This window comes from Homo sapiens, chromosome 13, assembly GCF_000001405.40.
Source record: "Homo sapiens chromosome 13, GRCh38.p14 Primary Assembly".
Taxonomy (NCBI): domain Eukaryota; kingdom Metazoa; phylum Chordata; class Mammalia; order Primates; family Hominidae; genus Homo; species Homo sapiens.
The window spans coordinates 113,798,694-113,811,735 of record NC_000013.11 but is presented as its reverse complement, the minus strand read 5'-3'; the positions used below and the strand labels follow the sequence as shown (position 1 = coordinate 113,811,735).

Below are 13,042 nucleotides of genomic sequence, written 5' to 3'. Positions count from 1 at the left end.
CTGCAATAAACAGAGAGGGCCCTGGGTTAGCAGGTGAGACCACCCCGTGCCGGACCACAGGGAAGCCTGACATATACCAGGGCCACTCACACGCTCCCCACCCACCCCGCCAACCCAGGGCCACCCGCAGACTCAGGGCCATTCACATGGGCCCCCCGCAGACCCAGGGCTATTCACACAGGCCCCCTCAGACCTAGGGCCACTCACACAGGGCCCCCCGCAGACCCAGGGCTATTCACACGGGCCCCCCACAGACCCAGGGCTATTCACACGGGCTCCCACAGACCCAGGGCCACTCTCACGCCCCTCCCCTCCCCCGGAGACCCAGGGCCACTCTTACGTCCCCCTCCCCCACCGCAGACCCAGGACCTCTCTCACCGGCCCCCACCCCACAGACCCAGGACCACTCTCACCGGCCCCCCCACAGGCCCAGGCCCACTCTCACGGGCCCCCACAGACCCAGGACCACTGTCACGGGCCCCCACCCCACAGACCCAGGACCTCTCTCACCGGCCCCCCCCACAGATCCAGGACCTCTCTCACTGGCCCCCACCCCACAGACCCAGGACCACTCTCACGGGCCCCCACCCCACAGACCCAGGGCCACCAGAAGGAGCAGCCCCAGCCCGGGGCAGAACAGGAGAGGGTGGCCGGGGCCTCACTGGCACAACCTTGGCCTCCACAGCTGCATGGGGCAGGGGGTGGACGCCCCAGGAAGGGTGTCCTCAGACCACATCCCACTTCCTCACAGCCAGCGAGCCTCTGACCTGACTCCAAAACCAACAGTTAGGGTCCACCAGGCCTGGGGCCCCTGGGCTCACCCAACTCTTCATATTTGGGAAAGGCCCCACGTATGAACCCCACACGTCCACACGTCCAGCAGCGTGTGGCTGGTTCAGTGTCACCGTGGCTGACTCAGCGGCTCACACACGCATCTGGGTGTTGCCGTGGAGGCATCTTCAGGTGTGATTGACACCCTTGCGTACAGTGCCTCAGCCCCTGGACACGGACGGCCCCTCCTCTCCACTGAAGGCGTTAAGGAAAGAGGCTGTGGTCCCCAGGAGAAGTGGACTCTGCCCCAGTGGCCTAGGCACTCCCGGGGCAGCGTCACCCTCCCTGGTCTCCAGCCTGCCCCCTCCCTGTGGTTGTGCACCTGAAGCCCACAGTCATCAGCCAGTCATTCAGAATCGATGGATTGATCTCTCTCTTCATATGTAGGTACCTGTATTCTCCCATAGGCTCTGCTTCCCTAGAGAGCCCTGACTAACACACATAGACCCACCCAAGTAATTCTGAGACCAGAAAAGCGAAGAACGGCACAGATTTTAAATTGATACATTCTAGTTTTTCTCCAACTGCTAACACACATCTTAATTCTTTTCTTTTTTTCCCCTTAAATTCTAGGGGGAACTTCTAATCAAATTTTAAATAAATAAAGCAAACAAACTCCTTCTAAGAAATAACACAGGAAGAGTTTTTCAAACTCCAAGCTACCAGATGTGCTCTGTGCTCCTCTTGCCCCAGCCTGCAGGGTCCCATGAGAAGCCAGCTGCCTGTCTGAGCCTGCGTGTTCAGCATCCCCAGAGAAGCCAGCTGCCTGTCTGAGCCTCTCCCTGGAGAGCTCTGCACTGCAGACGCCCTGGGAGCTAGCAGGACCTCTGGATCCTGACAGCAGAATTTCTGCACAGGTGTAGGTAAGGCTGAGAATGGGGCCCTTCCTCAGAGGGACTGCAATGTTGAGGTTGACAGCCCAGGCTCATGGGATCCAGTGGTTCAGGGACACCTGCCAACCTCATTTCTTTCTTCCCCCGAAACTCACACAGGTTTCTGGCCACAGGCGACAGAGTGAGACACTAGGGAACATTCTCTCAAGTCTGCTGGGAGCTCCCAACTTCCAACTCTGTAGCACCCACTCTTCTTCACAGCAGATGAGCAGTTAAGGAAACTAAGGGGTAAACCCCAGGACCACAGATAAACCCCAGGAACCCATGGAGTAACTCCCTAGGAACCACCGAGTGAACCATGGAGTAAAACTCAGGAACCACGGAGTAAACCCCCAGGAACCACGGAGTAAAACTCAGGAACCACGGAGTAAACCCCCAGGAACCATGGAGTAAACTCTCAGGAACCACGGAGTAAACCCCTCCCCCCAGGAACCACAGAGTAACCCCTCCCCCCAGGAACCACAGAGTTAAACCCCCGGGAACCATGGAGTAAACCCCCAGGAACCACAGAGTAAACCCCCAGGAACCAGAGTTAAACCCCCAGGAACCACAGAGTAAACCCCCAGGAACCACAGCATAAATCCCCAAGAACCATGGAGTAAACATCCAGGAACCACAGAGTAAACTCCCAGGAACCACAGAGTAACCCCTCCCCCCAGGAACCACAGAGTTAAACCCCCGGGAACCATGGAGTAAACCCCCAGGAACCACAGAGTAAACCCCCAGGAACCAGAGTTAAACCCCCAGGAACCACAGAGTAAACCCCCAGGAACCACAGCATAAATCCCCAAGAACCATGGAGTAAACCCCCAGGACCATGGAGTAAACATCCAGGAACCACAGAGTAAACTCCCAGGAACCACAGAGTAACCCCTCCCCCCAGGAACCACAGAGTTAAGCCCCCGGGAACCATGGAGTAAACCCCCAGGAACCACAGAGTAAACCCCCAGGAAACACAGCATAACCTCCCCCCAAAAACCACAGAGTAAACCCCGAGGAACCATGGAGTAAAGCCCCAGGAACCAGAGTAATCTCCCCAGGAACCACAGAGGTAAACCCCCAGAAACCACAGCATAAATCCCCAAGAACCACAGAGTAAACCCCCAGGAACCATGGAGCAAACCCCCAGGAACCACAGCATAAATCCCCAAGAACCAAGGAGTAAACCCCCAGGAACCACGGAGTAAACCCCCAGGAAACATGGAGTAACCCCCCCCCCAGGAACCACAGAGTTACACCGCCAGAAACCACAGAGTTAAACCCCAAAGAACCACGGAGTAAACCCCCAGGAACCACAGAACAAACCCCTAGGAGCCACGAAGTAAACCCCCAGTAACCACAGAGTTAAACCCTCAGGAATCACAGAGTAACCACCCAGGAACCACGGAATAAATACCCCTGGAACCATGGAGTAAACTCCCAGGAACCACGGAGTAAACACCCCAGGAACCATGGAGTAAACCCCCCAGGACCACAAAGTAAACCCCCAGGAACATGGAGTAAACCGCCAGGAACCATGGAATAAACCCCCAGGAACCACAGAGTAAACCCTGGGACCACGGGGTTAACCACTGAATGACAGGGCCCCCCTAGGGACAAGCCCTGCCCACGAGTAATCTCACAGGGGAAGGGAGGGCATGTTTCTTAGTAACGGGGCAGGAACTCATCTTCTGCTGTGATGCCACGTCCTCCCCTGCACTTCATGCCTGGCAAAGCTGCTGGGTGCAAGGAAGGTGATCTCTTTAAATTGTCCTTTTTATTAACTGCTCAAAACCTCCCCCACCAAGTCACTGTTCCCCATCCCCCACTGTCTCAAGTGGGAGTATTTTCTGCTGCTAACGACTTCCATGGAACACCCTGAATATTTTCTCTCCATCTCTGTGGAAGCAGGGCCCCTCCTCCATTGTTCTTCTGAGGAGCACATGAGCCTCATCTGATTTGCCATCTCTGAAATCCAATTATCAGCGTGCGTATATTAAGCTCCCACACATGCTGGCCTGGCACAAAGGCTGGCTGGGCCATCTGAGGGCCCCAGGCCTCCCCAGAGGAAGAGGGGAACATCCACCCTTTGCGTAAACCCAGAGCCCCAGGGTGGATGAGGATGGAGCACCATGGGGATGAAGTGGATCTGCCCCTGTGCCCCCCACGTCCCGTAAGCCCGCGTGTGACGGGGAGGACCACCCCCCACATCCCGTAAGCCCTCCTGTGATAGGGAGGACCGCCCCCCACATCCCGTAAGCCTGCGTGTGACGGGGAGGACTACCCCCCACATCCCATAAGCCCACGTGTGACAGGGAGGACCACCCCCACATCCCGTAAGCCTGCGTGTGACGGGGAGGACCGCCCCCCACATCCCGTAAGCCTGCGTGTGACAGGGAGGACCACCCCCCACATCCCGTAAGCCCACGTGTGACAGGGAGGACCACCCCCACATCCCGTAAGCCTGCGTGTGACGGGGAGGACTACCCCCCACATCCCGTAAGCCTGCGTGTGACAGGGAGGACCACCCTCCACATCCCATAAGCCCGCGTGTGACGGGGAGGACCACCCCCACATCCCGTAAGCCTGCGTGTGACGGGGAGGACCACCCCCCACATCCCGTAAGCCCACGTGTGACAGGGAGGACCACCCCCACATCCCGTAAGCCCTCGTGTGACGGGGAGGACCGCCCCCCACATCCCGTAAGCCTGCGTGTGACAGGGAGGACCACCCTCCACATCCCGTAAGCCTGCGTGTGACGGGAAGGACCACCCCCACATCTTACACCTCCGTGGGGCTCACAGGCAGGGAGGACACACCTGCCTGAGGGAGTCACCAGCCCCTCCCTCCACAAAGCCTCACTGTCTCCAAGGTCCCAAGTCAGAATGCAAACTTGGAGAAGCCGGGCCCCTCACAGCCAGAGCTTCAGACAGCCGGGCCCCAGCACCAGGGCGGCCCAAACCAGCCCTGGAGCCAGAGAAGAGGAAGGGGCTGATGGAACCACGTGTTGTCTCTCCTCTGGGGCCCTGAGGGGCAGCGGCTGAGGTTGAGGATGGAAGACAGCATGGGCCACCGAGGCTATGCTCTGGGCTGCACGTTCTTGGCACCCATGCGATTCCAAGTCTGTGTCTGTGTAGAGCCGCTTGGGGAGCACCTGCAGGCCCAGCGTCCCTGGAGATACCTCTGCCCCTGCGGGCCTCCTCCTTCTACCCCTGCGGGCCTCCAGTTCTGGGCTTGGCAAACTTCCCACGGGAGACCAGGAGGCCAGAGAGAAGCCCCCAGGACAGGGCTGTGGCCCTGGGGGCACGGTCCCTGCCATGATGGGGACGTCCCTGGGGCAGGGGCAGGAGGCTTGGGGAAGGATGAAGCTGCCTGTGGCACCAAGCAGACGCGCCTGCCTGCAGGAGTGACCACTGCAGGGTCGCTGGCAAAAGCTCCCGCCATCTGACCCTGGGGACCACATCTTCCCCCGTCACAGAAATGGAAAAGATGTTTCCAGGCCAGACCTCCAGCAGGGGCCTTGTGTTCCCAGGGAGCAGGGCCCCAGCTTTATATTCGAAGTGAGAGGGGAGACTGAGGTATGAGGTGCAGGGATCCCTCCACGAGGAGATGTTGTCAGGCCCTGGTCATCTCCACTGAGCCCAACAGCTGCTGTGTCCCGGGCATGGCTGAAGGTGGCTGACCCAAGCAGGCCCTGAACGCGAGGGACCCCCAGCAGCCCCACAGGCCCCTGGACCCCAGGGACCCCCAGACGCACCATCTCCATGAGTGCTGGTTCCTGCTCCCTCCTCGGGGTCCCTGGTGCAGGTCCCCAGGTGAGCTGAGAAGGTCGTGGCTCTCGGGCCCCGCTCAAACCTGAGCCCTCTCTGTCCTGGACGTGAGGGCAGAGTGTGCACAGGCCTCCCCCGGATGTCCCTCTAAGGAAGATCTTTTCCTGACAACGTCATGTGTCGGGAGAGGGTCCTCTTGTGGAATATCTGAAGACCTGTGTCATGTGTGACTTCAAAACTCACGACTCCCCACGTTCACCCTGCCCTTCCCCGCACAGAAACACATCACGGTGCCTGCTTTAATCTGCAGCTTCATCGGGCTGGGCCTGACACAGCTCTCTCTGCAGAGGCTGCTGTTAACTCACGCAAAAGGACCTGCCAGTCAGCCGGGCATGTGGGCAGTGCCTCCCACCCAGAAAGGAAGCCCACGTTTATCAGGACCAGGGTTCTCAACTGTGTCCCCGGGGGCACACGGCACGTCCAGGCAGGAGACACGGGACACGTCCGGAGAGTTTGGGTTGTCACACCGGCGGCTCTGATATGCCGCAGGCAGAGGCCAGGGCCCACCAGCACCCTCAGCACCTAGGGTGCCCCAGCACAGCGGTTGGCCAGCCCTGAATGCCTACAGTGCCGAGGTAAGAAACGTGGCCCGGTCTGTTTCACCCATGGCCACAGCACAGAGCTTCATGGCACAGAAGGCGGTCATGCCCAGGAGTGGAAATCGGACAGGCAGGCAGGGGCCACTGTCCTGCTCGCCCCCCACCATGGCCTCTCCCTCCGTCATCTCCAAGGTCAATAGCATCATGTCAGGATGAACCCTATGATGTCTCCACGTCTGCGGGTAAAATGGGGTTGGATTTTGGCAGATCCATATGGCTCCACCTAAATAACCTGGCCATGCCCACAGGATGTCCACCAGCAGACAAACGCAGGAGCCTCCACCACTGCAGCGGGGAGCTGCCCAGGCCTGTGCGGGGCCAGCCCCGGGGTCAGAAGAGCCAGCTGCCGGCAGAGCATGGTGGCGGGTCACCAGGGCCACCTGGCGCGGTCCCCGGCCATACTTGCAGGGAGGTTGTGCCCTGACGGCAGGGTTGTCACTGCCCCCCACCTCCCATCCCTAATCCAGAAGGTGAGGCGGCTGCAAGACCTCATCCCCTCCGACCCCAGCCCCATCCTGTCCATCCCACTGCCTGTGACCAGCGCGTCCAACTCCAGCAGGTGATGCTGGCCCTACCTGAAGGGGCAGAGGGTAGGACGAGCAGGTCGGGACGGGCTCGGGCGTCAGGCGGAAGCCTGCGTAGGCCAGGATCTGCTGGGCGGGGTTGTAGAGGGTCTGTGGTGGGACGGCTGGGCCATAGGCCAGCTGGGACAGAGGCACCTGCCATGGAGAGGAGACGGGTGGTCGGCGTGTACCCCCTAGTGGAGGGAAGGGCTGTCCAGCCTTCCTAGAAAGCCCAGCACCCTCGACCCCCGACTCTCAGGCTGGAACTAACCCCGGCCCGGCGTGCGTTTATACCCAGGCTGGAGCTAACGCCGGCCCGGCGTGCGTTTATACCCAGGCTGGAGCTAACCCCGGCCCGGCGTGCGTTTATACCCAGGCTGGAGCTAACCCCGGCCCGGCGTGCGTTTATACCCAGGCTGGAGCTAACCCCGGCCCGGCGTGCGTTTATACCCAGGCTGGAGCTAACCCCGGCCCGGCGTAGCTTTACACTGAGGTTCTCTACATCTTGGTCCCAGGGCCCCGCCACCTGCTAGTCACACTGGGTGACCGCTCGGCTCGGGCTCTCTTTTACTTTTTTGATTTTTTGGGGGGGGAGAAAAAAGCACTGGTTTCCTTCTCTCCGGGCCCCAAAGTCTGCTTTTTCGGCACAGAAGGGTGCAGGTGGGGAGGGCCCTCTCAGCACCGGGCTGATGGCTCTCGCTTCCCCAAGCCTGTGCCCCAACCAGCGTGGGGTTTCTGGGGAATGCGAACAAAACCAAAGTCTCCTGAGCTCCCGTCCACACTTTCACTGACTCACTCAGGCAGTTAAAATTCTCCAAAGAAGGTGCTGGCTCCAACTCAGGCCCCGGCCGGCCTCATCCCCTACAGAGGGAGGGGCCCATGGCTCACACAAGCTTCAGGGCTTCCCCGGGCCAGAAACGCGGGGACTGGGCCGAGGGCACCCGGGCTTCGCCTCCCTCCCCACCTTCACACAGGTGCCCCTCCACCTTCCCCAGCCCCCACCCCCAGGTTCAGCAGCACCCTGGAGGAAGCCAGGGGAAGATGGCAAAGGCGGGGAAGCCAGGCCAGAGCCGCTGCGAGGGGCTGGCCACGGTGACGACCCGGGGACACGGTGACAACCCGGGGACACGGTGAAAACCCCGGGACAGGGTGATGACCCCAGGCCTGAGGTGTCCTCAGACAACGGTGCTGCCCGCACCCCTGGGGCTGGGAGGGAGCCCCCTGCCCAGCGGGCACTGGAAGGTGGGAAGGGGCAGGGCCTTCTGGGCAGCTGGTCCTTGGTCCACATGTGCAGGAGGCCGTGCTTCTGCCTCAGACCCTGCAGAGAGCAGGGGGGCAGCCGAGGTGGGCCTGGGAGGTTGGATGGGCATGGAGGGTCGTGCTCCGTGAGGGAGGGGCAGGAGATTTGCAGTTCTGACAGGTAGAGGGGTGGGGAGGCCTCTGAGCTGGCGGTGGCCTGAGGATGGGGCCGGGGCGAGTGCACAGAAAGCAGAGAACACGGGGGCCACGGAGTCACACGCGGAGGAGGCCCCTGAGAGGCTGGCTCAGCCGCCCGCCCTTGCCGGCACGTTAAGTGCCTCCCACGCACCCATCACAAGTAATTTGCCCTCGTCTACGAAGGGCACGTCCAGCTTGGAATGTTAAGGAATGAAGGAAGCATCTTCATTCCTTAACAAAATGTTTAAATGGCAAAATCAGTTAAACTCACAAGAGGGCCTGCTTGGTGGGTGTGAAGGTTAGCAAGTCCTCTCCTTGCTCTGCAGCCCTGAGCTTTGGGTTCGAGGAAGACTTCCTGGAGCCGGTGTGGCTCTGCATTGCGGGCTGGCCCTGGAGGTATCACCTGTTCCTGATCCTGCACTCCAGCATTTTATCACGGGCTTTAATGAACACACGAGCCCCTTCCGGAAAACCCTGGACACCCCGGGCCTGTGTGGCGAGCATGGCGCCTGCACCAGACAAGCGTTTCTGTGTCCTGTCTACAATCCGGCTGCAGTTCCTCCTGGGACGGCCGCTGAGAGGAGACACTGAGCTGCCGAGGCAGAGAAGCTTGCACCGAGGAGACGCCAAAGGCGCCCGGAGCCCGCGAGATCCCGGCAGAGACCCTTCCCGACCCCAGACTCCCGCTCCCACCGCAGGGGCCGGCCGGCTGTCACCACAGAGCAAGGACCCCTGGGAGGTGCCTGTCTTGTGTTGGTGTGCGGGCGTCTGGGGGCCCAGGGTGGGGCTTGGGGGGCCACTGGGTGGGGAGCCAGAGGGCTGGACCTCGGGATGCCAGGGTCACTCTCAGCTTCACCAGTTTTGTCTGGAAGCACAAAAGTGTTGAGAAAAGGAGGAGCTGAGAAGCAGATGGCAGGAGGGTTCCCAGCTGAGCTAATTTTTAGTCATGGACAGCCTCTGGGACGAATAGGGCATGGAGAAGCCGCTCAGGAGTGTTTTCGCTGCCTCGCTGGGCCGGGTCTGGCCTGCATGATGTGCGTCTGCCTGGTGCTGCCAGGCCTCCTCATGTGGGTGCAAGAGGGGGCGCCCCTCGTCCCTGGGCTGCCGTTTGGATACTCTGGGGGTTGGGGCTCCCTCACTCCTGGCTGCCCATCCCTTACAGCTTCTCTGCAAGTTCAGGGGGCGGGGTTTGCTGGCCGCACACCACGAGAACATCTGGTTTGAAACAGGCGCCAGGAGAGGGCAGAGGAGGGAGAAGAGAGAGGACATCCGGCCCGGGCCAGTGATTTCCCTGTGGTTTCCCGGGCGAGGGCCGGCCTTTCCAGGATGGGTCCAGCCCACCTCCCGCGAGGGGCCCCTTCCCTCCCTCCTCCTGCCCAGGCCAATCCTGGCTGTATGGGTCTCGCCTCTGGGGTTTGCTAAGGCATCAGCTCAGCCCCAGCCCAGACCTGCCCATCTGAAGCCCCAGGCAGTTGCTAATGATGGGAGCTTAGTGCACAAGGGCTGGGCCTCCCTCTTGGAGCTGAACATTGTTTCTTGGGGACGGCTGTGCCCACCTCAGCGGGGAGGCAAGGATTAAATCAGGTGATTCTTGTGACAGGCTTGGGACAGGACGGCCCCGAGGTGAGTCGGTGCACGCCAGCTGTCACCCTGACACCCTGCTGACAGACGCATGGGCTTCAGTGCCCCATCTGTAAAGTGAGGGCTGGAGGCCCCCCAGCCCACCCCGGGGAAATGGACCCGGAGCCCCGGCTCCCAGTGAGCAGCGGGGGTCCCACCAAGGGGCCTCACCATGTCCTTGAAGGCCCCCAGGACGGCGGCGGTGATGATGCCCAGGAACAGGCCCAGGACGTTCAGAACTGCAGAGGCCCAGAGCAGGCGGTACAGGTGCAGCACGTCCTGGCAGCCGCTGACGCCGATGAACTCATAGTAGGCGGGCGAGGGCTCTGCGCTGCACAGAGAGGGCACCATGGCGTCACCGCACGAGGCAAGTGACCACCCGCAAGTTAAACTTGTGTCCTCTGGACCTGAGCCCTGCAGGGCTGGGGGAGGAAATCAGGGCTGGAGCCCAGTCAACGCCCATCCCTGCACTGCTCTGGGAGATCAAACCTATGTCTGATGGGATTGGCCTGTGAGGCTCCCCACCTGGGGCCCACAGTGGCAAAGAGCGGCAACTGGGCCTGGCGGGCCCGCCCCTCCGCCTCGATGGCCTGGCAGGACGGGTGTCTGGGCCCCGGCTGAGCCATCTCTGTCTTCACGCCAGGATGGGAAGGCCGTCGGGGTCACGGGCCCCTGTCCCAAGAGGGGGCCATGCCTGGGGCCTCAGAGGCCAGGCCAGGTTTAAACTCTCGCCCGACACACACGGGCTGTGTCCTCTTGGGCAGATCAACATTTCAGAGCCTCTGTCTTTTCATCTGTGAAATGGACTCAATGTCCTTTCCTCATGTAAACATCTAAGGAGTAAAGGAGACGATGTAGGTGCAGGGGTGTGGGGGGGGTGATGTCAGGAGCAGAAGGATGGAGGCCTCACCCCTGCAGGCACATACGGGGGTTCCCAGCGCCCCTCACCTCCCTCAGGTGTAGATATAGGGGTCCCCAGCGCCCCTCACCTCCCGCAGGTGTAGATACGGGGGTCCCCAGCGCCCCTCACCTCCCGCAGGTGTAGATATGGGGGTCCCCGGTGCCCCTCACCTCCCGCAGGCATAGAGGTCACAGCAGTAACAGGTGTTGCTTCTCACCTTCAGCTGGCACTTGCCGTCCAGGGAGTGACAGGTGACCTGGGGCAGAGAGGCCTTGTCAGGTCACATGCCGGTGCCCACCACCTCACCCACCCCACCAAGGGCAGGGCTGCCTCATGGGAGCTGGGAGCGGCCACTGAGGCCCAGCCAAGCAGCTGCCTCCCCCGACTTTCCCCCGACTCCAGACACAGAGGCTTGGGGGCTCGGGGGCCAGGACCCTTCCTGCAGGAGGGGTCAGGGGCACAGGCTGGTCCCAGAGGCCGGATAATCGGGGCTCAGAGGAGAGGCCTTGCTTCTCCATGATCCCAGGAGCAGAGGGAAATATCAGGGTGCGTGGGCAGAAGGACAGAGCCCAGGAGGCCTTCGGCGTGGGGTGCACAGAAGCCTGAGAGCCCGGAGGGCGGCAGAACAGGCCCCGTCCCAGGGCGCTCTCCCCCCAGGCTTGAGCACTGGCAGCCTCAGAAGAGACACCTGCCACCTCTGTGTGACAACCTTGAAAGCCCTGGCCAGGGGACACCCCCCAACACACACACACACACACACACACACACACACACACACACAGAGGACGCCTCCCCTGACACACACACACAGGACACCTCCACACACACACACACAGGATGCCTCCCCCCCACATACACACATGGCATGCCTCCCGCCTACCCCCCCCCACACACACACACAGGACACCTCCACACACACATACACATACACACACAGGACACCTCCCCCCTAAACACACACGGGACGCCTCCTGCCTACCCCCCCCCACACACACACACATAAACACACACACACACACGATGCCTCCCGGCAGCTGCTGGAGAGTCCCAGACAAGCTGGCAGGTGCTGGCCACTGAGAGGGCCTCCAGCTCCTCCTCCTCTGACACGCGTGCTGAGGATGAGAGGCTGCGTTTAGTTAAAGCCAGGAATCCACACAGGGCAGGTGCGAGACACACAGAGAGCGCCGTCACAGAGCTGTGCCCTCCGACGGTCCTGGCGAAGGCGGCGGCCGCCCGCGGGTCATTACTCCCCGCATCTCACTCACCTGGAAAGAGAAATGAGGTCACACTGCCGCTGTCGGTGGCTCAGGGAAATCCAGAAGTTTCTCGGACACTGTAAATGTATTATCCTTGCTTCTTATTGCAATAATTAAATTAGAAAAATGCTAATTGGAAGAGCCATACAGAACTGGACACGTGCACTCTGAGACTGTTGTGATTTAATGAAGCAAGTCCAGAACTCTGACTCCAGAGTGAAATACAGCACATCGAAATGTCAAGGTCCCAAACACAGGGGGCATCAACGGTTCACCAGCTGCAGGGGTGACCCCCAGGAACTATTAGAATCAAAATATTCAGACCACGCCTATGTGCAGGGAAAACCGCGTGGGGTCGGCGGGGTTAGCTGAGCAAAACCCACATGAATCTCAGTGCTCCTGCTCACCTCTGTCTGGTAGACATCGTACAAGTACCCCACCCCACTGGAGTAAAACTGGCATCTTCCCGTGGTGAGGGGCCTCGGTTCCTAGAGAAACAGATAAACACAGATGGAATAAAACAGGTGCCTCCAGGCGGGAGAGGCCAGAGGCAATTTCAGGCCTGTGGGTCTCAGGCTCAGGGCCTCAAGGACCAAGGCCAACACCAACTTGAGCCTCCCAGACACAGAACACAAGATGGGAGACTCCACGCTCCCTGCAGAGCAGCTGGGCTGCTGCATCCAGGAGGCCAGACAGCAGAAAGCCCCATGGGAGGGTACCTCGGGCCATGCATATTCTCCATCAGTCAACAAGGGCAGCAGAAGGGAGACAGGTGCTTGGCCTTTTGAGGGGCATCCCTACCACCCCACATCACAGGTGTTAGGCTCCTGCATCGTTTCATAAAAGAAAATATTGTCTCTTCTACTAGGAAGGTAGCAAGAAGGATTTCAGACCAATAAACTCATCCCTCCAACCATCCAATCATCCACCCACCCACCCAACCATCCATCCAATCATCCAATCAATCATCTGTGCATCCACCCATTCTTCCTTCCATCCTCTACATCTATCTATTCATTCATCCATAATGCATCCATCATCCATCCTTCCATTCATCCACATCCATCCATCCACCCATCTGTCATCCATACTTCATCCATCCATCCATCCATCCATGTATCCATCCATCCTTC

At 60.3% G+C, this 13,042-nt stretch overlaps 1 protein-coding gene across 2 annotated transcripts in view, besides 2 other annotated features; it reads right to left on the bottom strand.

The window, feature by feature from the left end:
* The window catches only part of TMEM255B (transmembrane protein 255B), a 57,770-nt gene that overhangs the window by 5,260 nt on the left and 39,468 nt on the right, over positions 1-13,042 (bottom strand). The window contains exons 5-8 of one of the 2 annotated variants that reach the window (NM_182614.4): positions 12,317-12,397; positions 10,824-10,909; positions 9,924-10,083; positions 6,708-6,851 (exon numbers count right to left, since the gene is read on the bottom strand). In NM_182614.4, the coding sequence (NP_872420.1) occupies positions 6,708-6,851; positions 9,924-10,083; positions 10,824-10,909; positions 12,317-12,397 (471 nt within the window). The remainder of the gene's footprint in view (positions 1-6,707; positions 6,852-9,923; positions 10,084-10,823; positions 10,910-12,316; positions 12,398-13,042) is intronic. The other variant, NM_001348663.2, reaches the window with a different exon arrangement.
* Positions 7,438-7,996: an enhancer, noted in NCBI's record as "H3K4me1 hESC enhancer chr13:114506713-114507271 (GRCh37/hg19 assembly coordinates)". NCBI's record gives its function as "activates a minimal SCP1, AML or CMV promoter by ChIP-STARR-seq in naive H9 embryonic stem cells {active_cell/tissue: H9 hESC(naive)}" and the evidence as "EXISTENCE:reporter gene assay evidence [ECO:0000049][PMID:30033119]".
* Positions 9,702-10,576: an enhancer, noted in NCBI's record as "H3K27ac-H3K4me1 hESC enhancer chr13:114504133-114505007 (GRCh37/hg19 assembly coordinates)". NCBI's record gives its function as "activates a minimal SCP1, AML or CMV promoter by ChIP-STARR-seq in primed H9 embryonic stem cells {active_cell/tissue: H9 hESC(primed)}" and the evidence as "EXISTENCE:reporter gene assay evidence [ECO:0000049][PMID:30033119]".